The sequence below is a fragment of the Homo sapiens genome, chromosome 1 (assembly GCF_000001405.40).
Source record: "Homo sapiens chromosome 1, GRCh38.p14 Primary Assembly".
NCBI lineage: Eukaryota > Metazoa > Chordata > Mammalia > Primates > Hominidae > Homo > Homo sapiens.
Genome location: NC_000001.11, coordinates 119,589,633 through 119,617,431, shown reverse-complemented (window position 1 = coordinate 119,617,431; position 27,799 = coordinate 119,589,633). Strand labels below are relative to the sequence as shown.

Sequence of the window (27,799 nt, the reverse complement as noted above, 5' to 3'; positions counted from 1 at the left end):
CTTCAAGGTTTTAGCTGAAGTAGTTCTGCCGATTTCTGTGTTGAAGTTAATAGAGTTGGTAGAAATCACAGACATGACTTCACAGCCTGAGATTCACTGGACTGCCACAGCCACTGCTGAGTGTTGCTGCAGCCTAGACCAAGCCCTATAGGTATTCTTGATCTTGCTCCCATCTGTGCAGTGGAAAGATGCGGGTATGAGGTGTGGGGAAATCAAACCAAAGGACAAACATGAAGGCTCTTGTAAGATTCAGGAGCTTGTGTGAATGTTAGGAAGCAAGGTGGTTACCAGGTGGTTGTGCCCAGTGCTGCAGAGAAGGGGCTGCTGAGGGGTGTCCTAAAGTCTTGTGTCATAGCTCCTGGGAGCCTAGAAGGAGGAGAGAGGCAGTTGCTGTGCATATGGACTGTGTCTTCTGGGATTTCCAGCTCCTGGGGCAGGGTGATGAGGGAGTGAGAAGGCATGGCCTCCCTTTCTTGAGAACAGGAAGAAAGAAGGAACTAGTTCTGCTTCTCCTTTGAGGGTGTGCTGTGCGTGGAGTGTGCAGGGCAGAGCTTTGGCATTAACTGGCAGTGGACTTGAGCAAGGCATGACTTTTCTGGGTTTCTGATTCCTTTTCAGTAGGCACTGTCTCTATTGGTCCTGCCCATTTTAATTTCTAGTGATTGTCAAAGAATTAATTTTAAAACCTTCTTGGGAAACATCTATAGCTTAATGCCAAAACAAAAGGCCGTATTTAAGTCAGCATTAAGTTCTGCAGTTTAGTGGTCATCAGATATCAGGGAGGGAGGGAATCGGTTACTACTTGGCCCCACTTCTTGACCCTTCACAACCCTATGAGAGGTATGATGCCCCTTTCCCATTGAGGTGCCAGGTGCCACTAGAGCCAGGGAAGGGCTGGGAAACCACTTTCTCAAATAGCTTTGGCTTCATACAAACAAATAAGCACATGGAGGCTTGTGTTATTATGAAGTTTAGCTGCAGAAGTGTGCAGGTGCCAGAGGATGCAAATCATCTTACACTTTTACAGCCCAGTGTCACTGGCAACAGACCTTAGAACTGAGCCATATCCTTCATTTTGCGGGAAAGGAAACAGACGCAAGAAGGTAAAAAGATTTGCTTAACTTCGATGGCAAAATTGAAATAAGAACCCAGGATTTTCACTCTTCACTCTTATTTGCAAAAATATTCTTCTTCTAAAACAAAAGAATACTCGCTTGTTTTTGCCCTCCACCCCTTTGCTTAGTTTCTCTCACCCCCAGCTACTTTCATTTCTATACCATGAGGCACCTGCCTGTCTCCATTTATGCAGCACCCACGTCCACAAGCTGATGTTCAGATGGGAGGTTGGGCTGTATGGGCCAGACAAATGGATTAGATAGCTGACTTCTGGTTAAACCTGTCCTCTGCCCTCTTTCTAAATGTCTCTCATCCCAGGTTCCCCGCCCCCCGCCCCCCCCACCCCACTTTATGAATATGTTGGTAGGGCAACCTCCTAGTTCTATGCCTTCACCTCCCTTTTCATCTTAAAAGTAGCAAATCCTAGGTCACCATTACAGACGGTGGTCTAGGTGAACATTGAGAAAGCCATCTCACTTCCCAGGCCTCAGTTTCCTCATCGGTAAAATGAAAGAAGGAAAGGAGCCCACAGTTAAAGCTGGAATAAAGGTCCCTAGATCCTTCTTTAACTTCAATTTAATAAAAATTTTAGAGATGAAGTCTTGTCTGATGTTGAATTCCTGGATTCAAGTGATCTTCCCCCTCAGCCTCCCAGTAGCTGGGAATACAGGTGTGCCCCACCATGCCTGATGAAGCTTTCTTTGCTCTAAAATCTGAACTCCACAAAGACATTGATCTGCCCTGTAGGAGCCAGGGAGCTTTTTTCATTTACCCACGATAGGTCAGCAATAGGTGTTTTGCCTGCTGCTGAAAGAAGTTCCCATAATCAGAATTCACTGCATATTTTACAGGGATCAGTGCAAAATGAAATGTGGGGTCCCATGGCAGCCCCTTAAGCCAAGCACAGGCCCTGGGTGACCTCACCGGCCTTGTGCCCAGAGAGCTGCTCTGCTCAGAGCTACACCAGGGATTTGACAGACTCCAGCTGGTGCAGGAGGGAGTTAGTGCCAGGCTCGTGAGAAGGGTATTCCTACTTCAGTGGCCAGCGTTCATGCTAAGATGGCAATAGGCCCGGAGTCCATCTCACGCCCACCTCTCTGTCGCCAGTACCTGTTTTGGAAGAAGGGCTGACTGCATCAGTGCTGGTTCTTCCATGTCTTGAGGAAAGATTGCGCTGTTCAATAAGGAACTTCAGGTTTCCAGAACAGATTACTGACTGTTTTGGAGTCTGCAACTGACCTCAGTGCTCCCTGCCTTTGGGGACAGAGTGGCTAAGCCACTTTCTTTTCATCCAGCCTTCCCTCTCCACTTCCTCATAATGAACCTCTTTCATGCCTCAGATCACCGACCCCATTCCCTGCTCATTACCATTGGGTGGGATCTTGGGCCAAGATAAAGAAAAAGAACGCCCCTCAAATTTCCACCAGAGTCCCTTGATGTCTTAAGAAGCACATGTAGACAGAGAGGTTGCGTGGTCCTCACTTGAGTCAACTAAGAGTGGGAGATTCTCTTCTGAATTCAATTTTCAAAAGCAGCTTTTCCTTTTTTTGTAGTATAAAAATGCTCTGGGCCTTGCACCATTTCAGGTTTTGGATCTAATTCCCAGTCCCTTTATAACCTTGGCAGCTGGGCTTCGCCTTCATCAGCCTTTCCCTTTCCCTGCTCATGGGCCTCTCACAACCCCACTCACTCTTCATATCACACAAATGAGTTCATTCTCAGCACCATACCCACTATGTGGCTTATCTCTTTCCCATCTCTCATCATGATGATCCAGCTTCTTCAGGTTCATCAACACCGTGAAAATTCATCTTTGCATTCTTTCTTGCTTTGTCACTCAAAGCATTCTGCTCCCTGACTCTCCATCCCTCCTGTCTCCATCCTAGCAGTTGAGTTTGCTTGTGTTTCATCCTTCCATCCATCAGCCCATGTGTCTATTTTGTGTCAGTCACTGGGGACAGAGAGATGACATGGTGAGTTACTGTCCTTTGGACACGGCAGTATAGGGGTGGGGAACAGGATATATAAATGAAAAATTAATGGCAGTGGTACTATGCACAAAGCATGGAGGCTGTAAAAAGAGATGCTTTGGATGGTGAATAAGGAGCTGGGAAGGATGCACTGGCAGGAGAGCTTGGCACCCTCTAAGCCGAAGGAACGCAGTGCACTGGCCTGGGTAGATGTAAAAGCATGCTGCATGCAGGAAGCGCTGAGTTTGGAAAGTTGTTGAGGCACAAAGTAGGAGAATCTGGGGATAGGGCAGGGATTGATGAGAATTAGTCTGGAGTGTCAGGCAGGGCTCAGGTCTTCAGAGGCCCTCTGTTATGCTAAGGCTCACAGGCTCACCCTGACAGTCCTGGGGCTCCCCCTCGTGGTTGGTTTTAAGAAAGGGCGTGACATGGTGAGACTAGTTTGGAGAGAACTCTGGCAACACTGCTGAGGATAGGTTTCATGGGTGACTCTCCAAGACAAGGAGGCCTGTTGGGGGTACGAGTAGGAATGATGTTACCAGGGAGGAAGATGACACATTCAAGAGGTGTTGTGGAGGTAAAGTTGGTAGCGCTGAATGATAGGTGGGCGGAGTGGGGGGCTGCCATCCAGGTTTCTGGCTTGAGAAAGTGTGTGCTTGGGAATTCTGTGCCAATACCCAGTCCTGTCTAAACTAGCGGCCATTCTATCTCAGGCCTGCCGCAGTTGCCCCTGTATTCTGTTTTGTTACCAACCCATAAATCAGGCCTTCGTTTCTTACCTAGATTCTTCAAGTATCCTCTTCATCTCTTTCAGTCCATCCTACAACGTGCTGCCAAGGTAATCTTCCAGGGACAGCTGAACAATTCCCATTGCAGAGTGAATGATGTCCCAGCTTTTAGCATCACCATCAATATTCATAGCTAGAGGAGACATTCTTTTCCCATAGATTCCAATTTTTGAGAGAACATGAGGCATGTTGTATGTGTGGAGTAATTGAATGTCAAGTTGTCTTTTTTTTTTTTTTTTTTTTTTTTTTTGAGACAGAGTCTCACTCTGTTACCCAGGCTGGAGTACAATAGTGCAGTCTTGGCTCACTGAAACCTCAGCCTCCTGGATTCAAGCAATTCTCCTGCCTCAGACTCCCAAGTAGCTGGGATTACAGGCGCCAACACCTTGCCTGGCTAATTTTTTGTATTTTTAGTAGAGACGGGCTTTCGCCATGTTGGCCAGGCTGGTCTCGAACCCCTGACCTCAGGTGATCCATCTGCCTCAGCCTCCCAAGGTGCTGGGATTACAGGCGTGAACCACTGTGCCCAGCCCAAGTCGTCTTTAATGGGGACACAGAACTCCTACTCTGAGGTCAGTGAAGGAAGCAGGCAGGTCGTCTCCAGGGGTGGCCCCGGGTGATCCTGTGTGTGCCCATCATGTCTTTCCAGGTGTATCTTCCATTTCTGCCTTGGCGTGGTGCTCTCTGGTCTGGTCTCATTGTTCCCTAAAAGTGACCCCTTTCCCACCTGGGTCTTTGCAGACTCCATTGTCTCCACCTGGAATACTTTCCCTCACATTCCTGTCTGTTGAAATCCTACCCATCTTCTGATATTTAGCCCAAATGCAAGGACTCCATGAATCCCCTATGGGAATGGATCTCCCGGAAGCATTTTCCTTTCTTATGGCACTCTTCACATTTACTGTGCACTGCACCTAACACGTCTCCTATTTTATCTCCCGCACTGGACCACTAGACTGGGAGCAGAAGTGGAAAATCGGAGGCCTTAATCCTGGGGCCAGGCTGTGAGTGTGTTTTCTTAGTTTGCATATTTGTTCCCCACCAAATTTAATTTATTAAAAAATTATAACCTATGTTAAACATACAGGAAAGCTGAGAGTATGATATAATAATGTATATTTGGGACTTATCGCCAAGAATGAATAGATTTGCTGCTGACACCTCGCCACCCACTTTTTAAGATATAAATTATTGCACATACAGTTGGAACACTAGCCCACACATCCCTCTCCTGGAGCAGATCTTCACACTGCTTTTTCAAATTTAGAGTTAGTCACTAATATTTAGAAATCACGGGATTTCACATCATAATGGTCACTTTCCTGCCGGTTCTCACCAGTCCATCACAGGCTCTGGCCCATCCTGGCCCTTGGAACCTGCCTGTCTAGTCTGTGGCTTAGTCTGGCACCCGAGCTCTCTCATCTGCCCTCTGTACATGCTTTCCAGAAGGCGAGGGGCCTCCTCATGCCCCTCCATCCTCCTCTGCACCACTGCTCGGTCTGTGCCCACTGCCTGGACTGAGGAATTCAAGGCCTCATTCAAGCCCCACTGGCTCCTGTGGCTTTTCCCAGTGACTTCGGCTCAGCTCCATTCTCAGTACTCATATACACCTAGCCCTTAAGCCGGTGGTTGAGCATTTGCCTGTGCTTTTATTCAATCCTTTGTCAGGTACCCTGCAGAGCCACCCAGGTGGAGAAAAAGGACCCAAAAATCCCGGCCAGGTCAGGCTTCCTTGTTCTTCCCTCTTAGCCTTTGCTGCCCCCGTGTGGTGCACCACGTGAGGTGCAGCGGGGCTTGGTGCAGGAGCTTTACCTGCTTGGCACTCTCAGGTGTAAGAAGGGATGGCAAATTTTGTTGGCCACAACACTGCGAGGCGTTTGTGCTTGTTCAGTTGAGACTGTTGACTCATCCGGCCCCCTCGTCTCTTTCTTTGAACTCCCCTCGCTGCCCGTCGGAGATCTGTCATTTTCCTTCATTTCCCTGTGAAAATTGCCCTGGTGGTTTCCTAAGTGTAGGGTTTCACTAGGCTGAAAAACCAGGGGAAGGGCTCTTGTCCCTGATTCCACCACCCTCCGTTGATTCCCGTGGTACTTGGCATTAACATATGGATCGTGCGCACGCCTTACAAGAGCTGGAGAGATGCTGGCTCTTGCATTTTGTGCGGTGGCTGGGGAAGGAGGGGTGTTGCATTTTTCACCTTACCCCACTGCCTGGAGCCACTCGCCCCTGATGCTAGTGCTGATCATCTGTTCCTTGGGGTTTTGAAGGTGGTGGAAACCTGTTCATCTGGGCCAGAATGTGGTTCCCTTTTCTCTTCAGAATGAACACTGAAACTAACTCCATTGTGGTAATCAAATTCAACTGATTAATGATCTGTAAATTTCCTGTGTAAGAAAGAAGTCATTTTGATGTTGGATGTGACTCTCATCATGGCTGTGATACACAAAGGTCCAGAGGGAGACAGCTTCCATCTCCACACTCTGGACCCATAGCAACCTCCTCACCTGCTTCAGTTCAACTCTGTCCCTGACGCCCCTGACAGTGTTTCTTTTGAGTGTGTTTTCATTGATTGGTTAATGACTGTGTCATCACTGAAGTCCCCAAACTTGTCTTGATTGGCCTCCTCTCTTCAGGGAAATTGAGAAGAATGAGAGAACCAGTGATTAAAGAGGAGATGGAGGGAAGAAAGAGCCTAAGGATATGGAAGAATAAAGGAAGAAAGTATGTGATTTAAAGAAGAGGAGAAAGGAGAGAGAGAGGCAGTTAAATCTGGGGATGTGGGATAATAGACTTCTAATTTTGGGCTGAGTAGAAGGTATATTTTGGGAGAAGTTCACACTTGTTTTCTTTACTTGCCCAGGAACCCATGGTGTGGCTCATTGTGTGATTTGAAAGGGTGAAATGCAGGGTTATGTATGATCAGAATGGCCAACACACATATAGCCAGGAGTGTTCTAGAGACCTTCTAGGAAATTGGCACCGAAGCTGGTAGAGGCTGAATGCGTTTTTGTTTCTTTCAGCCCTGCTCGGGGCCATTAGGAAAGGCGTGCAATCTCTTTCAGATGCCCCTCAGGGATTCTCCTGGGTTCTAGAGAATCCCCTGCGTGCGACTGGGCAAGAAAGAGGTAACCCAAAAAAGCTGGGGCCCTCCAAAGTATCAGCACCCCATGCTCCAGTGTTCTGCTGTACCACTGACAAGACCAGTTCAGGCTGTGTGATTCCGTGGAAAGATAAGGACTTTCAAGGTCAACTGCCTTTTAGAAGGCCTAGCCATTAATCAGTTAGTGTGACTGTGAACAAGTTTCCTCACCGGTAAAATGGGAATAGTCACCCCTCGTGATAGGTTTCTGATGAGTATTCAGTGAGGGAATATATGTCATATGTAGGTCATGTTGTACACGCCTGAAACATAGTAGAGCTTATTCAGTCTTCATCGCCCTTCCTGACCCTCCCACTACTCTGCCCACCCCTCATCCCCAGCTCCATGCTACTCTCCTAGGTAAAAGATGGTGATACCTGGAAATGAAAAGGAACAAGGAAAGTATGTATTAACAGAAACCACGCCTCCCTCCAGGTTAGGCATTAAAACATTTATTGCTCTTTACATTGAACTGCGTGAAGAAATAGGAGATTTAAAAGAAAAGAAATGAAATCCTTTCTCATTTAAGAGGAGAAATGGAGCTCTAGTAGTTAAAAGCGACCCTCAAGTTAAAAGAGACCACAAGCCGGGCGCGGTGGCTCACGCCTGTAATCCCAGCACTTTGGGAGGCCGAGGCAGGCAGACCACGAGGTCAGGAGATTGATACCATCCTGGCTAACACGGTGAAACCCCGTCTCTACTAAAAATACAAAAAATTAGCTGGGCGTGGTGGCAGGTGCCTGTAGTCCCAGCTGCTCGGGGGGGCTGAGGCAGGAGAATGGTGTGAACCTGGGAGGCGGAGCTTGCAGTGAGCAGAGATTGCGCCACTGCACTCCAGCCTGGGGGACAGAGCCAGACTCTGTCTCAAAGGAAAAAAAAAAAAAGAGAGAGAGACCACAATTGTTCAGAATGAGCCACTGAGATTTGGAAAAAGCAAATCACATTGTATTTCCTCTGGTATATGATTAGGACAGAAAGCTCCTGGTTGAGCCAGGGAATGGGCAGGTTTTGATGACATGAGGAAGACAATAAGTTGGGCATTGTGTGAAAGGGAGACAACAGGACCTGGGCTTGTGCCATTGTCACCTTCTGTATGAAGCCAGGAGGATGGAGCTTGATGACATCACCTAACAATACCCACATGCACATCTCTGTCATCCTTAAATCGCTGAGTCTTGGACTTCACGGTCTCCTTGTGCCAGTCCACAAGGGAAACCCACTCCACGGTTCTAACAGACTCAGGTACATTCTTCTTGGCTTCCTCCCAGCTGTAAAGTGGCTTATATGCCAGATCTTGCTGAGCCTTCTTGTAAGAGAAGGTGAACACGCTATTTGACAATGTCACTCTGTGGTGGTTGAAGGGTGTCGATAGGTGTAAATTGGCCTCAGCAGGAAGCTCACTATTTCCAGCAGGAAGCCAATCCAGTACATCAGAGATAAAGGAAGGCTCCATCTAGAATCAAGGCAGAGGCCGAACTCTTTGCTCAGGATGTAATTAAGGTTATCATAGCTTTGGTGAGGCATGTCATCTGAGATGTAGTAGAACTGTCCTCGGACACTTGGGGCCTTCTTGGGCTCCCGCAGGGCCTCAAGGCCAGAATGTGGGCCCAGGCCATGTTTCCAATATAGACTGGGTTGACTCTGGAGAACTTGCTGAAACTTGACAGGATCCCATGGTTGTTTAGGGCCTCATTTATACCGGCAGAAAGGATTGGGCTTCCTTCCCCATAGATAAACATTGGTCTTAAGGCACAAGTGTACAAGGTGCCACCGTTTTTCAGAGTCCACCCATTAGCCGCCAGCACAGCCTTCTCAGCAAGCTTTTTGCTGTGTGGGTATGGAGCGTACCATGTGTTTTCCAGAGGCTCTTCTTCGTGACTGTTCTGGATGATTTCCTTGTAGGAATTGGGCCCGGCTACCTCTGGGGTACTGGTGTAGATGAAGACTGGCACTGTAGCTTGGACACAGGCCTCCAACAGAAGCTGGGTACCTACCAACGAAAAGCATTCTGTCAGTGTCAGGAAATATCCCTAAGGGGCCCCAACCACGTGCACATATCTCCACTCCCAAGTGCAGTGGTTATAACAGACTCAGGTACATTCTTTTGTGGCTCTGACTGAGACTGGGCCATGCTACAGCCATAGGAAAAACACCAAAATGAAAAGAAACTGACATATGGATTCTGGAGAGCAAGAATTTCTAGACTTTTGGGTGTTTGGATGTGTGTGTGTGTTTTTGTGTGTGTGTGTGTGTGTGTAGTTTAATTTTGGCAAAGGACCTAGGGTTATCACTTTATATTTTGCCAAGTAAGGATGTTGAAAATTATAATGTGACATCAATACCATTAAAGGCAGATTATTGAAAAACTAAAAAATCAGGAAGATATACTCTGAGAATATGGACAGTCCTGGTTCTTTGGCAAAAAAGGGCAGTAGAAGAATTTACATCACACACACAGACACCCATATACAGTTGTATATAAGCAATATACACTCTTAAATATACTGTTGAATATACATGCAATTGCTGGTATTTTTCTCATTTTGAGTGGACTGGTAAAACTTTGTCACCAGGACCATTCCTGGAGTCATTGAGCGAACAGTGGCTTGTGGGGAGATGCTGGAAACCCACACTCTTTTCCTGATTGTGCATTCCCTGGGAAAGCTGCTTCCAATTCTGGCTGTGACTCTGTTTACCTGGTTATGTAAAGTCGGGGTGATAAACCTTCCTTTAAACCCTGCCCTGGCGTTTCCTGTGGAGCCTGGTGGAGGACTGGGGAGAGGAGTGTGCCCTCTGCTGGTAACACCTGTACTGGGAGGACCTTGCCGCCTCCCCTGAGCTGTGTGGAAGTGTAGCTCATGGAGGTGTTCGGAGTGCCTTCCCTTGAAGAAGGAAGGAATTTCCTAGGCAAAGGATTATTATTTTTTCTTATTTTTTTTTATTCTTGGCCCTGTTTAAAGTCTCTGTGGAATTTGAGTTTCTGGAGAGACAGCCTCATGTTTTCAACAATTAATCTGGTGGCAGAGAAAATGCGGAAGTAGTTTACCTTCAAGGGGGAAATGACCAACATTGTGAAATATTTTCTAAGTCTTGGAGTGATAATGGTTTAGGAAACAGATGCCTCTAACACTTCCCCTGTCATTTTACCTTTCTTGTTGTTGGGAGCTGTGGAGAGTTAATAATTCAAATGAAACACTGGTTACTCTTAACACCCTCCTCACACTGTAGAGGTACTTAAAGGTATGCGTAAGTAGAAACTGGAAAGGTTTTTTTTTTTTGAGATGGTGCTGGAGACCCAAAAGCAATTAGTTGCTTTAGAAAAGGTGTCAGAGTAGACTGAATGTGGAGGGCTAGGCCAGTGGTGGGGTGCTGTGGTGCTGAAGAGACTGGGCTCTGGGAATCAGAGGGTGAGACTGCATGACGAGATTCCTTAAGGGAATGTGTCTGAATTTAAAGTAGTTTGGAAAGCTGCAATTCGGAAAGACCACCAAGACTTTAAGGGATGAGGATTGAATGAAGGTGCATGTTGGACACCTGGCTGGGAATGGCTCTGTAATAGCAGGCCCTGTGGCGAGCTGAAGAGACTGTGTATTCTGGACACTGGGAAACCCTTTTTCTTAAGAAAATATTGTGAGAAAGCATGTGCTGGATAATTCAGTCCTGACAGACCTCTGTGGACCAACTTTACTAATTCTCTCGAGAGAACTTCTTTGAGGTGGGCAGGAGGGCTCTGAATGTTCTTGATATGGGAGTGCTGGGAAGGGAAGAGCATGGTCCCTTTAAATGATATGGGAGGGGGGAAGGGAAGTGCTGGGTGAAGGAGGGTGTGGTCCCTGGCTATGGCTCTACTCCCAGGGACCTAGATGAGGACAAACATTTTCTGCCCAAATGTTGCATTTCCCAAGACCACCCTGGCCTGCCATGCCCCAATTCTCTGCCTATAAAACCCCCAAGACCCTAGCAGGACACACACAAACTGCCTGACAATGAGAGGAGCAGATTGGCAGAAGAAGATAGAAGGGGCTGGATGTCAGGAGGGGCACATCAGTGGAGGCACACATCAGCAGAGGAACACATGGGCAGCTGGACGTTGGGAGGAACACACCGCCCAGCAGAATGATGTGGAGTTTCCCTGGGATGGTCGGAGAAGAGTTGGGCAGTTGAACGGCCAACTCCATGGGAAAACCCTCCCCTTCTGGCATCCCCCAGCTGCTGAGAGCTACCTTCACTCAACAAAACCTGGCACTCATTCTCCAAGCCCAGGTGTGATCTAATTTCTCTGGTAACCAAAACAAGAACCCAGGATACAGAAAGCCCTCTGACCTTCCGACAAGGTAGAGGGTCTAATTTAGCTGGTTAAAACAAGCCGCCTGTAGATGTCAAAACTAAAAGAGCAAGACTAAAAGAGCACCATGTAACACACACCCACTGAGGCTTCAGGAGCTGTAAACATTCACCCCAGACACTGCTATGGTGTCGGAGTCCCACAGCCTGCCTGTCTCTATGCTCCCACAGAGGTTTGAGCAGTGAGGCATTGAAGAAGCAAGCCACACCCTCATTGCATGCCTGGTGAGGGGGATGAGGGAATTTTTCCCATTTCATTATCATAAGCCTACGCACAAGGTGACTTGTGTGTAGCACAATGATGACTATGGTGGCACCTGGAAGGTTTGATTCTGTCCCATAGAGGGATATCAAGAGTCTGAAGTTGGAATTTAGTTGACTTTTGATTGAAGCCACTATAGAAAGAGTGTCCACAGCCTTTGGAGTCACACAGGGGTGAGTTTAAAGTCTAACTCTCCTATTTACTTACTTACCTGGGGGGGCCTTGGACAAGTTACTTGCCATCTGTAGCACTGGTTTCCTCATGTAAAAAACTGAAGATAGCAGCTTTGAACTCCCCCAGTTGGTAGTGATCAGCAAAGACACTTGGTCCAGAGCATAGCAGGTGTTCAGTGGAGAGACTTCTTTTCCCTTCCTGTCCTTCTTTGTGATCCTTAATTCCCCACCTTGCTTCATCTCCTCCCCAGGCTACTGTACGTTTCACATTGATGTTCATGATGGACTCTCTGTGAGTGACACCGATGATGTCTATGATGGAGGTGGTGTGGATGATGACCGACATGTCCTGGCAGGCTCTCTTCAGGCATGACTCATCCAGAATGTCTCCTTCCAGCACCGTCAGCTTGGTCTTGTTCTGGAGCTCTGTGTGAACACCGGTCAGGTTATCAGAACGATTTCTGAAACGATTTCTGAAACTGATAAAGATGTTGTTACATAGATGTTCGAGGATGGCTAGAGTCAGGGTGTTGGAGTGGAGGGTGTACATTCCATGGAAGGAACAAGTAAACAGGGACACAGAAGTCAGAATATGTAGCAATTTATTGGGAAAGAGCAAACATCTGTTTCTACCCCATCTCATTTAAGAAAAGTAATCTGAGCAATGAGCTGTCAGGTGTGCTTGGAATATAAGCATTTCTAGAGTCATGGGAGACTCACTAAAATATTTAAAGAGAGTAAGGTGACTGTGGAGAGTTGGGTATAAGAGGGAAAATTTGAATTTAATTCTGCTGGTGATGCGGGATCATGATTTTGGGTCTCCAGCACCATGTCAAAGAAAATCCCTTATTTATATTTGGAATAAGTAGAGAAACAGGCAGAGCATGGTGGCTGACACCTGTAATTCCAGCACTTTGGGAGGCTGAGGTGGGCAGATTGCTTGCACCCAGGAGGTCAAGACCAGCCTGGACAGCCTCGTGAAACCCCGTCTCTACTAAAAACACAAAAATTAGCCAGGCGTAGTGGTGCTTGCCCATAGTCCCAGCTGTTCGGGAGGCTGAAGCAGGAGGATGAATGGGGCCCAGGAGGTGAAGGTGGCAGTGAGCAGAGATCATACCTCTGCACTCCAGCCTTGGTGGCACAGCCAAACCCTGTTAATAAAAAAAGAGAGACAGAGAAACAGAAGCAGAATTGTAATGTAGGAAGTCAACATTGGCTTGAGGATATAAAATGGACTGGTATAGGGGATATGAGAAAGTAAGGTAATTAAGATATTAATCAGAGTATCTGTGCCAAAGTTTCGATGAGGACTGGAAGCAGGGTCCAGCAGTGGAAGCAGAGCAGGGGAGAGATAAAACAGGTTTGAATTTCAGACCTTACCTTGAAGGTCCTGATACCTACTGGATCTGGGCTGAGAGAAAAAGAAGACAAAATCACCCCTATGGTTTCCTCCTTGGGCAATTGGGAGGAGAGTGGAGCCATTACTAGGGAATTGCTGATGGGCTTAAATGAGGAATTTCCATGAAAAACTCATCAGATTTGAAAAGCAGATAGCAATGCTGAAAGTTAGCGACCAATGAACTGATATTCCAGCTGTCTAGCTGAGGGCAGTGGTTAAAACTTTAATGTCTTCACGCTCCTCTGAAATCCACAAGAAGTGATGCTGCCAGTAAAGTTGTCACCTGGAATTAGCCCACGCAATGAACACTGTGGTACATGAAGCTTGGATAAATACACTACACTTGTTTGTGCTTTATAATCTGCATATGACTCACAGCTTGCTTATTTCCTTTTACAGCAATCTCATGAGATAGGTTTTCTGAGTCCCACTTTACTGGTGAGGAAACTGAGGTTCAGAGAGGTTAAGGGACAGATCAAAGGTCGCGTTTCTAGTAGAGGCTCAAACTTGCCCACTCCACCTCCAAGCCTCGTACCCTGCACACCAGGTACAGGACTGGCTGTTTAGAATAAACTTTTCTGAGAAAGAGTAAGAATAAGCCAGTTCAACTGAAATTGGCAACAAAGGCCAAAGAACAGTGAGAGTAAAATTCAGAGCGAAAAATTCAAGACCGGAGCAATTCCTTCCTGGGATACAGGCGGGACCACTTCCTCTCCTAATGCCTCTGCCATGTTTTGTCTACTCCCAGCCCCTTCCTATTGCCAGGCAACTCCAAGAAGGCCATGCTATGGGGGAGGCAGGGAAGAGGCTGCTGGGGAGGACATGGGTGACAGCCTGAGAGTGGAATTTTCTCTGGTTGTATTTCCACCTCTGCACTTCCTGCTCCCTTCCTCTGCTTCCCCTTTGCTGCCAACTTCAGACAGACTGGCTCAAAGGAATTGCCATTTCAAAGCTGAAGAAGTCTAAAGCCAAGAGAAAAGGCTTTTCCTTAATGAGTTCACAGGGATCTAGAGACCAGGAAAGGGGACTTTGTGGATGGAGCCATAGCTCCCTCATTCCCCAAGCTGCTAGGTGAACTACTGCTTAAGAGCACAGATGCCGCACTAGACTGTCTGGGTTCAAATCCAGCTTTGCCATATTCTAACTCTGAGACTTTCAACGAGTTAATTAACCTCTCTATGTCTGTCTCCTAATCTGTGAGAAAGGAGGATAATAATATTAACAATCTCATAGGGTTGCTATGAGTAACAAATGAGTCAGCACATGCAAAACATGTAGCACAGTGCCTGGCACAGAAAGAACACTGAAAGGATTCTCTGTTTTTATCTTTATACAGGCTACTGCCCATCCATTATATCCCCTACCTTTTCACCATAGGAGAACTATTCCTCTAGGCTGAGCGTTGCTTTTTTTCTGGTATTAGGTGTTAGATTGCAAATATTGGTGACACATAAGGATTACAAACATTTCATCTTGGTCTTGTGTTAGTATTTGTTTATGAAAGACACCATTAAAACAGAGGGTGGAGGAAATTGGAAGAGGTCAGAAAAGAGCAAAAGAAGAGCAGAATTTTGGGTGTGGTGGTCCCTGAGTGCTGTCAAGTAGGGGCTTCTCTGAGGGCAGGGCATGACTCTTTGCACAGCCAGAGCCCAGGTGTAGACACACAGTTCACCCACCCCCTGGGTTGGGGAGGAGGACAGGGAATTGGGCACCCAGAGAGGCAAAGGGAGAGACTGAAGACCCACTTTGCCAAGGATCAGCTCCAGAGTAAAGTGATGATGCTTCTGGATGAAGCTCTGGTCTGAGGTCTGCTACACATTAACCAGATGGTCTTAGCAAGTTGTTTTATGTTTCTGGATCTTGATAGTTCATTGTCCAGTTGGATATGACTCCTTTTCTACTTTCCTCATGGAGTTATTTGCACAAGAAGTTGCTACAGCAAATTCTGCAATTTCTTGGGGGTATTGAGCAACAGAAGCAAATGGTTAAAAAATAAAGCCATAAATGAAAAATCGAAAAGAGGGATATCCGGCCTTATACTGCCTCTTACTCTGTCTCTGCTCTGTGCTGTGCACTTGTGCATGCTCTCTCTCTCTCACTGATGCTGTCTCTTTCTCCTATCCTCTCCCTCTCTCTCTCACTCTTTCTCATGCATTCTTTCTCTTTCTCATTCTCTCTCTCTGATTTTCTCTCCCCCTCATTTTCTCTCTCTTTTGCTCTCTCTCTCTCACACACACAAACACACACACTTACACACTCATCTATAACTTCACTTCCTTTTATTTTGCCTTCACCAAAGGTGCCAAGGTTGCTACAAAACAAAACAAAGCTCAGGGAAGTCTAGAGAGGCAGGGACCCACTGGTGAGGTCTTCAGGTAAATGGTGTCCTTTGTGAATGTTGCAAAGCAATTGCCGAGACAAAAAGCTTCAGAACTTAAAATAGTTGCAGACAAGAAAAATAACTGATGTGGGATTTTCTAGATGAGAAGAAAAGGGGGCTGGTGTCCAAAGTGGTTGCCTCTCAAGTTCTGGGTCAGGGACAGAATCCAGTCTCTGGATAGCCCATCCAGAATCTTTCACACTATGCCATTTTATACTATTTAATTTTCTTTTCTTTCTTTTTTTTTAAGACTATCGATGTGAGATTGGCTTAGATTTGACTACTGTTCTCTGTAACTTGCTAGAAAAGGTCCACCTTCCTGCACCCATGCAGTGTCTAAAATGGAACCACACACCCATGAATCAAGTTTACTTACCAGAAAATTCCTTCCTCAATTCCGGTCTGAAGGCCTTGTCCAAGGCCCTGATCTCCTTCAGCTCCTTCTCCTCCACCAAGAGGCGGATGATACTCTAACCCAGAAACCCTCCTGCTCCTGTCACAAGGCAGCTCCAGCCTGTCATGGCCAATCCAAAGTAGCAGACAACACACTCCAGGAAACAGAAGATGCTGGGGAGCAGATCTGATTCTAGGGTGACCCTGGAGAGGGCTAAAAAAAGAGATCAAATGGTTATATACTCACACAGATGTCTTATTTTCCTCTACCCCATTTTTTTTGCAAAAATTCCATGTCTCCACCATTGCCAGGAGTAGCTGAAAGAAAATGAAGAAGCTCTTACTGTTAGATTGTTAAAGCTGGACAAAAGAGTCAGGGTGCTTGTCACTTCATCCCCTAAGGGAGCCCTGGGCCTTTATGCTCCGTGGCTTCTGACTTGCCCCTTATCCCCTTGAACTCCTGCCACATACTCATTTCTCCTGCCTCCTCCAGCATCCCTTTTCTCAGAAGAATAGTGACCTTTAGTCTATATCTCTAATTCTTCCCAGGAACAGGAAGAGAAGTCCAATTCTAAGGCAGCAATGCAGTAAAGAGTCTTAGGTTTAGCCTTAACAGGACACTGGTCAGTTGATACCAGATATCGGGGATCCGCAATCTGTGATCTTAAACTAGGCTGAGAGAAATCTCCAAGTGTAATGTGAACTTTGCTTTTGTGCAGTAAATATGTTTGGAAGGAAATCCACATTAGCTCGTTATCTCCTCTCTCTGAGTGTCATTTGAAATGTTGCTGCTGTCTTGCAAAGTTTAGAAATTTGCAATGGTGACAGCTCCAATCACTAAGTTTTACGGAGGTGACTTACTTACCTATTCAATATATCCAAAACCTCAATTGCAATTTTCCCCCAGAGAGCTCTGGGTTCCTAGATGAAGAACACCATTGAAGGAAAGCTATCTAGTGTTAACCATTTAATGATATGGCCTGTACCACAGGAGTGGGGATTTGTGGTTGTATGCTCCAATGACTCTTATCATAGATGTTTGAACTTTTCCCATATTTTTGGGTACAAAACCATTCTCAGCAAATTTCTGAAGATGCTGTGAATGCTCCTTGAGCGTATACCTGAGAACTGCCCAAATTTCACCACCATAAGCTCTCCAAGATACTTTCCTCTACTTAAAAAAATCGAGGCCAGGCGCAGTGGCTCATGCCTGTAATCCCAGCACTTTGGGAGGCCGAGGCAGGCAGATCATGAATTCAGGAGATCAACACCACCCTGGCTAACACGGTGAAACCCCATCTCTACTAAAAATACAAAAACTTAGCTGGGCCTGGTGGTGGGCGCCTGTAGTCCCAGCTACTCAGGAGGCTGAGGCAGGAGAATGGCGTGAACCCTGGAGGCGGAGCTTGCAGTGAGCTGAGATTGCGCCACTGCACTCCAGCCTGGGCGACACAGTGAGACTCCGTCTCAAAAAAGAAAAAAAAAAAAAATCCAGGTGTAATCAGGTGTAATTTATATTCACTAAAATGCCCAGAGCTCGTGTTTAGTTTGATGAACCTTGACAGTTATGTATGCCCATGTAAGTAGCACCCAAAAAATGTATTGGTCATTTCCTTCACTGCAGAAAGTTCTTTTCTGCCTGTTCTTAGTTAATTCCCTCCCCTGCCCCCAATTTACCCTGGTAGGCAGCTACTTTCTGATTTTTATTCCCACAGAATTTTCATTTTATTCCTATATTTTCTTAATTTATTCTTCTAAGATCTCTGTGGTTCTGGATATATATTTAAATATAAAATCATTCTGAACTGAAGTTTTGTTCATGGAGTACAGAAGGATTGACCATTGATTGTCTCTATTGTTTGTTCATTTTTCTATTTCATGATTTTCTTTGTTTTTATTATCAGCTTATGTTTATTAACTTGGGGGTTGTTTTACTCCTTTTTTTCAGGGTTCTTATTATAAAAGCATATATAATTGACTTTAGTCCTTTGCTCATTTCCACTACAGGCATTTAAAGTTGTAAGTTTCTCTCTAAGCACTGTGTCAGCTGCAGCCAACATTTTGATGCATCGGGTTATCATCACTCAGTTAATGATGTTTTGAATTTTTTCTTGTGAGTTCGTCTTTGACCCAAGTGACCGATACCAACAGAGTATGTAGCTTGTTTTCTGAAATTGGGAATCTTCTAGATATCTTATTGTTTTGAATTTCTAATTAAATACTACTGTGGCCATAGCATATACTCTGTATGATTTTGATCCTTGTGTATATATTGAGACTTGTTTTATGGTGCAGCAAAAGGTCTGTGTTGGTGAACATCCCATAAACACTTGAAACGAATGCTTTCTGCAGTTGTTGGAAGTAATATTCTACAAATGATTTGCTTTGAAACCCCACTCTAGGTCTTGCCCTCCTCCCATGTTGAAAACATTCAACTGCTACTTGGGACCTGACTACCAATGCTTCAAACCCACTTGCCTAGAAAAGGTTGGCCCTGTGCTGCAAGATGTAGCAGCTTGTTCTCCGATAGCTACAGGCCCTGGGTCTTGCTGAGACATGTGGAGCACTATCTGAACCACCCAGGTGCATCACACACCTTTGCCTGCTATAGCACATGCTAGAGTGCACCTTACAGATCCCATCACCTTTCGGATGGGGCCAGACATTCCCTATGCTGTTGAGAGTTCTGGAGGCTGATAGATTTCAGCCAGTGTCTCTTGGAGTCTCTGAGTGGAACCGATAAATAAAAGCCCTAAAGAAAGTGAGAAATTAAACAAAGGGCAAGACTGATGGGGGCCACACTACTAAATTTCTTTTGTTTTTAAACAGCTTTACTGAGGTATAATTGACATAACATTCGCTTGTTTTAAGTGTGCAGTTAAATTATTTTCAGTAAAATTTTAGACTTGTGTGACCATCACCATGATCCTGTTTTGCAACATTTCTATCATTCCTAAGAAATCCCCTATGTTCATCAGTCACCACCACTTTTTCCCAGTCCCCAGCTCCAGGCAACCTCTAATTGACTTTCTGACTCTACAGATTTGCCTTTTCTGGAGACCATATAAATGAAATCATGCAATATGTGGTCTTTTGTATCTGTCTTCTTTCATTTACTTTAATATACTTTTATGGTTCATGTATGTGGCAGCACATATCAATATTTTAATCCTGTTAGGGGACAAATCCTATTAAATTGTATGGATAGCTCCCATTAGTTTATTCATTTATCAGTTGATACATATTTGAGTGTTTCTACTTTATGGACAATTATGGATAAAGTTGCTATGAATATTCACATTCATGTGTTGTGTGGACATAGGTTTTTTTCTTCTGGGTAGATAGCTAGAAGTGATAGTGCTAGGTCATATGGTAAATATATCTTCAACATTTTAAGATACTGCCAAACTGGTTTCCAACGTGACTGCATGTCCCATCAACAATGCGTGAGTGTTTTAGTTTTTCCACGTCATTATTTCACTTCCCCCAGGTGTTACTGTCCTTTTTTATTATAGCATTCTAGTGGGTAAGAAGTGGTGTCTCACTGTAGTTTTGATTTGCATGTCCCTGCTGACTGATGATGCTGACCATCTTTTCATGTATTTTATTGTCTATTCCTACACCTTTTTGATGAAATGGTTATTCAAATATTTTGCCTATTTTAAAATTGGGTTATTTATCTTTTTGTTGCGTAGTTGTAAGTGTATTTCATATTCTGGATATGAGTCCTGTATTAAATATATGATTTGAATTTTTTTTCTCAGTCTCTGGTTTATCTCTTCATTTTCTTATTGGTGGCTTTTAAATGCCAACATTTTTAGTTTTGATCCTGTTTCATTTTTCAACTATTTTTTAACCAGGAAAAGTTGGGTTTTTGCCTAATTCAAGATCATGAATATAATAATCTATGTTTTCTTCTAAGAGGTGTATAGTTTAGCCCTTAAATTTAGGCCTTTATTTTATTTTGAGGGAAGTTTTGCCTATGTGTGGGTTAATGGCCTAAATTCATATGGCCAATTGATTTTGACAATAGCAAATTCAATAGGGAAAAAGATTGTCTTTTAAACAAGTGACACTGAGACAACTGAATTGTCCACATGCTCAGGGAATGTCAGCCTGCTATGTCAAGTGGTGCCCACCCGAGTCACCACCTATTGACATCAGAGTGTGTGAAGAATTTCTCAATATGATAACTATGGGTTAAATAATATGCTGTAGCTTTCTGCTCCTCCCATTCGACAGATAGCCGCATCTTCTTGTGCAGCGCCAGCCGCATCCCTGAGACACCATGGTAAGGGTGAAGGCCAGAGTCAATGGATTTGGCCCCATTGGTTGCCTGGTTACCAAGGCTACTTATAACTGGTAAAGTGGATATTGTCACCATCAATGACCCCTTCATAGTCTACAAATTCCATACTACATGGTCTATGTATTCCAGTATGATTCCACCCGTGGTGAATTCCATGGCACCGTAAAGGCTGAGAACAGGAAGCTTGTCATCAATGGAAATCCCACCACGATCTTCCAAAAGCTAAATCCCACCAAAATCAAATAGGACAATGCTGGCACCAAGTACATCATAGACTCCAGTGTCGTCTTCACTACCATGGAGAAGTGTGTGGCTCATTTGTAGGGGCCAGTTAAATGGATCATCATCTCTAACCCCTCTGCTGACAGCCCCATGTTTGTGATGGGTATGAACCATGAGAAATATAACAACAGCCTCAAGATCATCAACAGTGTTTCTTGTACCACCAACTGCTTAGCATCTCTGGCCAAGATCATCCATGACAACTCCGATTTAGTGGAAGGACTCATGACCACAGTAAATGCTATGATTGCCACCCAGAAGACTGTGGACGGCCCCTCTGTGAAACTGTGGCATGACAGCTGCAGGGCTCAAAGGAACATCATCCTTGCATCTACTGGCACTCTCAAGGCTGTGGGCAAGTATATCAATGAGCTGCATGGGAAGATCACTAGCATGGCATTCCAGGTCCCCACCACGAACATGTTGGTCATGAACCTGACCTGCCCTCAGGAAAAGCATGCCAAATATGATAACATCAAGCAGGTGGTGAAGCAGCATCAGAAGGCCCCCATAAGGGCATCCTGTGCAACACTGAGAACCAGGTTGCCTCCTCCAGCTTAACCATTGACACCCACTCTTCCACCTTCAATCCTGGGACTGGCATTGCCCTCAGTGACCACTTTGTTAAGCTCATTTTCTCATATGATAATGAATTTGGGTACAGCAACAGGATGGTGAACCTCATGGCTCACATAGCCTCCAAGGAGTAAGACCTCTGGGCCACCAGCCCCGCGAGAGCATGAGAGGAAAAGAGAGGCCCTCAGCTGCTGGGGAGTCCCTGCCACACTCAGTCCCCCACCACACTGAGATTCTCCCCTCCATGCAGTTTCCATGCAGACCCCCTGAAGAGGGAGGGGCCTAGGGAACCCCACCTTGTCGTGTACCACCAATAAAGTCCCCTGTCTATGCTCAGAAAAAAAAAAGCGGTATTAGGAAAGCTCACAAAGATTACTGATCAGCAAAAAAATAGACAGCATGATTTCTCCATCCTCCTATTTAATACTGATGCATAAATGGTCAGGAAATGCTGGGCTCACAATGGGAGTCTGCATTCCAGTGTAGGAACAATAGTCTCCCTTGTTATAATTTTTTATCATGTGAGCACAAGGATACAGCTTTATCAGTGGAGGAACACACAGGCTGTTGGTGTGAAACAGTCTAGATTTAGGTTCCAGATGTTCACAAGATTGTCTGGAAAAATCACCTGCCTAGCATCTAGAGTCCTTGGGGCTCATGCAAAGGGTTTCCCTTTTTTTAGGGGAGAAAGCCACCCATTTTGCAGGGAGCTGTACTAGGCACAGTCTCTCATGCTGGGAAAAGGAAAATCCCTCTTCTTGGCCAGCTTACTAAACTCCTGGCTTATTTTAGGATAATTACACCCCTTGTGCTTGAGTCCTAGAGAGGTCATGAGTAGCATAGAATAAGTTTTAAAGGCACATGACTAGACGAAATAAGTTATAAGAATATTCATGGATAATAGGGAAAGTTTCCGGACTGAATCCTGGAATACACATATCAATATTTACAAGTTGAACAGAGAAGGAGGGGCCAGCTAAATATGCTGAGTAGGAGTTGGTGGCAGGAGGGAGAAAAATTACAAGGAGATGGCCTTGTAAAAGTCAAGTTGAAGAAAGTGTTTCAAGAAGAGTTTGGTTCACTATGTTGGATGCTGCTGATCAAATGCAATAGGAAAATAATTGATTATTGATTTTGGCAACATTGTAAGTAATTTGGTAAGAGCAATTTCCACAAATAGTTGGGTTGAAAGTTCAACTGGAAAGTCCAACACACAATTCATTTGTGTGTTGAGGAATAGAAGAAAAATGTGAAGAGAGCGACTCTTAAAAACAACACCTGTTCAAGAAGTTGTGCCATGAAGATCTCAGTAAAAAGGTGTTACAGCCAGTGGAGTGAAGAGTTTGTTTTTGTTGTGTTGTCTTAAACTGGACTACTCCTTTATTGATCCTTAGCACCTTGTACAGAGCAAATGTTCAAACATTGTTGAGTGTTTGACTAAATAAAGTGTTTATGTCTCATACATCGTTTTATTACCATAAGAATTTGCACAACATCTGACACATCATAGGAACTTAATACATGCTTATTGAATAAAGAAATGGAAGGATGAGTGAACAATCAAGACTCTAGAATGTCTTAGTGCTTCTGAAAGTTAGTGCTTATAGACTAATACAAAGAAGGAAATAGAAGAGAACAGTGACCACAAAAATGAAAATACTAGAAAGTTTCCCATAGTAATGAGAGGCTGGAATCATTGCCCAGGCCAAAGCTGTTTGCCAAGGAGAAGCAATTTTCTTCTCATCTATAGCACGGATATGAGTAGGATCCTAGGTATTTGAAGTGTACTTGAAGAGCCAGTTTTCAGAAGTAAAGAACAATGGGCCATCCCCTCCACCATACAGGGAGAACTAGGGCCAGAGCTTTTGGGTTATATGAGCTCAACTTGGCTGTCTTTCCAGGCAAGACCTTCAAAGTGAGAAAGGAGGAGGCTTTAGCAAAATGTCTTTTTTATTTCTTACTGAATTCTGTTTGTCAGTTATTTTTGGGGGAGATCACATAGATGTCACTCAACCATTTCCTCTGGAGTCTGACAATGATGGTATGGTAGCCAGCCTCTAAGTTGAATCCAGTGATCTCTGCTTCCTGGTATTCATTCCCTTGTGTGTGTGCTGAACCTAGTAACTTGCTTTTAATCAGTATAATTGGACCAAAATGATGGAATATTACTTCCATGATTAGGTTAGAAAAGATTGTGACTTCCATCTTGTTTTACACTTCCTCTTTCTCATTGGGCTGGATGAAGCAACCTGCCATGCTGGACAGGACAATATAGTAATGAACTGAGGGCAGCCAACAGTCAAAGGGGAACTGAGGTTCCCAGTCCAATATGCTTCGAGGAAGTGAATTTTCCAACAACTATGAAAGTGAGCTTGAAAGTAGATATTTCCCCAGTTGAGTCCTCAGATGAAACTGGAACTTTGTGCCAGTCAAGTCAAGAGCTCTTGGAACTCCAATGTTTAAGAAGAAAATAGGTAGACTGACATATTTTTAACAAGCTGCTTTCTTTTCTTGGGGATTTCTCTTGCATTACAAAGAACATTAGCCCTTCATTAAACTCAGTTTGAAAACCACAAGTGGTTTAGCAAATATTAGATTCACTGAAGTTACTAAGTGTTGGTGAAGATGTGGGGAGACAGGTGTGTTATCCGTGGAAGTGTAAGTTTATGCAAATTTCTGGTGAGTATCTGACAAAATATTTTAAATTTTCACACACTTGACCCATCCATACGAGTCCACTCCAGATATTTATTTTAAGGAATAATCAGTTGAAATCAGACCAAGATGTCATATGGCACATCTCCTTGCACAAAGAAAGCTCTGCATATGAGCTCTAATATATTAATTGAGCCCTTTACTATGTATCAGGTGCTTTACGTATGTTATCTCATTTAGTTTTTAAAATGGACTTTATTTTCTATGATAGTTTTAGCTTCACAACAAAGTTGAGGGCAAGTGCAGACAGTTCTCATATACTCCCACTCCCACACATACACAGACTCCCCATCTATCACCATTCTGCACCACATGGTACATTTATTACAATCATTGATCTGCATTGACACATCTTTATCACTCAAAGTTCACAGTTTACTCTTGGTCTTGCACATTCTTAGTTTTGACCAATGTATTCTGATATATAACCACCATTTTAGTGTCATCTGCCCTAAAAATCTGCTTCTGTCTGTCAATCCCTCTGTGCACCCTGACTCTGACAGGGTCAGATAGTTGGAATCACACTGTATGTAGCCTGTTCATGTCGACTTCTTGCATTTAGTAATATACATTTAAGCTTCCTCCATGTCTTTTCATGGCTTGATAGCACTTTTTTTTCTTTTAGCACTGAATAATATTTCATTATCCATTGAACTATTGAAGGACAAATTGGCTGCTTCCAGGTTTTGATAATCATGAATAAAACTGCTATAAAGATCTAACCTAGAAGTAGGTTTTTGTGTGGATGTAAGTTTCCAATTTATTTGTGTAAATACAGTGAAGCATAATTGCTGGATTATATGGTAAGAATATGTTTAGTTTTATAAGAAACTGTCAAACTGCCTTACAAGTGTCGGTACCATTTTGCATCCCCACCAGCAATGGATGAGCATTCCTGATGCTCCACATTCTTGCTAGCATTAGTTGTCAGTGTTAAGGATTTTCACCATTCTAATGGGTGTGCAGTGGTATCTCATTTTTGTGTTAGGTTGCAATTCTCTAATGACATATGATGTTGAGTATCTTTTCATACGCTTTCTTATAATTTATATATCTTATTTGGTGGGTGTCTGTTCATGTCTGTTGCCTATATTTGTATCAGATTGCATTCCACGTGTAAGACATTTTTAGGAGTTAAGAGATTCCTTCTGAGATTTCGTATGCATCTCTTCAGTTTACTGTGGACATTCCTTTTCCCATATTTCTAAGCAATGGAGAACAGCCTTTTGGTAGTATCTTGATAAGATTCTTGCTCATTTCCCTTGGAATTTTTGATGTAGCCCCTGAGCCAGATGCAACTTAAAAAATTACACACATTTGTGTCCAGGAGCACAGTTATCACCAGGTAGATGCATACAAAGAGAGCTTCTACTACCTTTTCTTGTAAAGTAAGCTAATGTCGTTGTCTGTATACCAAATTGCTTTAATACCATATGCTCATGTGATTTGTTTTACTCTTACCCCAAACCAATCTCTATTGACTCCCACAAGTCTTCAGCTGGTGATTTCAGGGTCGAAGAGATGACCTTAAGCTGGCCACTACGCTTGCATTGAAGTGCCTGTGATAAAGGCAACTTTGGGAAATTTTGCAACTTGATCACTAACCAGCATAAAAGCATGAAAAAAAATTGATTTACAAGACCGTGATTGGGTGTTTGGATCTTATGTTTTCTCTGATTTCAAGTCTTACCTTCAAGGATTTATTTATTTATTTACTTATCCACAAGGAACAATTTAGCACTAAAATGTTCTTATCTTTTTCTGATGTGAGGAGAATCATGAGACTACAATTATAAACTTAACACAAATAGAAGGGGGCTGAGAAAGGTGGTATCTACAGAACAGTTCTACGATCTGGAAGTGAAATTCCAGAGAGTACACTTCAAGAAAGCATACCAAGTCCCACTGTCCATGAGGCTGACTCTTGATGGATGACAAGGCTATTAGGGTTGGGGAACAGGCCAGAGGAGAGCAAAGTCTGCCTAGATTTGGTCATTTGCTGTGGGATGTGCCTGGTGGGACAGCTGTCTCATGAGTCTGCCCACTGTCTGAGGCCGTGTTCTTGAAGACCCCTGAGTAAGAGACAATTTCTTAGACATTAATCACTGTCATTCATTTAGCTCTGTAGTACTTTATTGAGAAAGTCTCCAAGTATCTACTAAAACTATCCAATATGACCAAAATAAAGATATCTCCTTTCTCATTTCCTGGTGAAGAACTGGGCTAGTTAATATTAACTTGTTTCCAGGGTCCCTGAAACTCTTATCTGAAAACTCTCTTTCTGCTACTTTTCTTGGAGGTCAGTGAATTGCACAGAATAGACATCAGTCCGTGTGCCACAAAATCCTGTAACATCCTAGGTCATGACAATGAATATTTTAGGCTTTCCTTTGCTCCTCTGTTCTTTCTTGTCTCTGGTTTTTGCCCTCTGACTCAAAGTAAAAAATATTCCCAAAGTCCCTTGCAGCAGTGCATGAGTTAGGCTATACCAAATTCACCTTTGTCCTGTATTCCTTCTTGATCTTGTGAAATTGTATGGTCTGAATGTGTTCCTTCCAAATTCATATGTTGAAACTTAATTGCCAATGTGATAGTGTTCAGAATTGGGGCCTTTAGGAAGTGATTGGTATATGAGGACAGGGCCCTTGTGAATGGGATTAGTGACCTCATAAAAGGGCTTGAGGAAACTAGCTGACCCTTTCCATTCTTCTGCCACATGAGGACACAGGCAATGCAGCAACAAGATGCTGTCTTGGAAGGAGACACTGAGCTCCCACCAGACATGGAACCTGCAGACACATTGATCATGCACTTCCTGGCATCTGGAACATGAGAAATAAGTTTCTGTTGTTTGTACATTTTCTAATCTGATATATTTTGTTGTACTAGCACAAATAGACTAAATCATGACACTTCCATTTTTTACAAGTCACTCAAATCAGGGTGTTGAAAGTAATCTTCAAGGCCTGTGGTCATCTAGGCATCCTGTTCCACAATGCAACTGTGACTGCTGTGTCAGCCAGACAGTCACCCCTAGACATGTGCTTTCTTAGTATTTCCCTAAACTTTCAGCACAAGCACTCCATCCTTGCTGCTGGATTAAAGGCCCCTCCTTGGCCTCAAATTATCAGCCCACCAGTGCAGCAGCCAATTTGACACCTAAATAAAAAGTTAAGGCCTCACTCTGGGAGCATGGTCAATTTCCCTTTTCTTTTTACCAACCCAATAAAATTTCATCCGATTTAACCTTCTGTGCTTCTCTTCAATGACCACAATTCTCCAAAGTATCCACTACTCTTCCAAGTATTCTAATGACACGTGGTTTTTTTCCTTTCAACTGATTTAACTTTGCTGCACTGTTTCATAGATAGAGAGTATGATTTCTGTTGGGAAATTTTTATAGGTATAGCTCTTCTGTCCAGAGTGCAAAGTTCCATAGTTTTGGACAGTATGTGCAAAAAATTATAAGCTACTGGCTGTTTCAGTCGTTACTGATCTGCCCTATTAAGATCTTTTGTTCTGAGAAGAATCAATGGGAATTCTTTGAGTCATACAATTAACGAACTATTTTTATTTTATTTTATTTTATTATTATTATTTTTTTGAGACTGAGTCTCACTCTGTCACCTGGGCTGGAGTGCAGTGGCGCAATCTCAGCTCACTGCAAGCTCCTCCTCCTGGGTTCATGCCATTCTCCCACCTCAGTCTCCTGAGTGGCTGGGACTACAGGCACCCGCCACCATGCCTGGCTAATTTTTTGTATTTTTAGTAGAGACAGGTTTTCACCATTCACAGGATGGTCTCGATCTCCTGACCTTGTGATCTGCCCGCCTCGGTCTCCCAAAGTGCTGGGATTACAGGTATGAGCCACTGTGCCCGGCCCGAACTATTTTATTTAAAGGGACTGCTGTTTTGAAAGGTTGGGTGTTCACTTCTTTTTAATTTTGGGATCT

At 44.1% G+C, this 27,799-nt stretch overlaps 1 long non-coding RNA gene and 2 pseudogenes across 1 annotated transcript, besides 1 other annotated feature; 2 read left to right on the top strand and 1 right to left on the bottom strand.

Annotated features, from left to right (window-relative positions):
* Positions 7,894 to 16,180, bottom strand: HSD3BP5 (hydroxy-delta-5-steroid dehydrogenase, 3 beta, pseudogene 5; annotated as a pseudogene).
* Positions 11,520 to 12,719: an enhancer, noted in NCBI's record as "MED14-independent group 3 enhancer chr1:120147336-120148535 (GRCh37/hg19 assembly coordinates)". NCBI's record gives its function as "activates an origin of replication core promoter dependent on BRD2, BRD4, P300/CBP and CDK7 cofactors, and independent of MED14, by STARR-seq in HCT116 cells {active_cell/tissue: HCT116}" and the evidence as "EXISTENCE:reporter gene assay evidence [ECO:0000049][PMID:35650434]".
* On the top strand, positions 18,141 to 19,730 carry LINC00622 (long intergenic non-protein coding RNA 622). The gene has a single exon (NR_036540.1). It is a non-coding gene; the product is annotated as a long intergenic non-protein coding RNA 622 (long non-coding RNA).
* On the top strand, positions 20,182 to 21,467 carry GAPDHP33 (glyceraldehyde 3 phosphate dehydrogenase pseudogene 33; annotated as a pseudogene).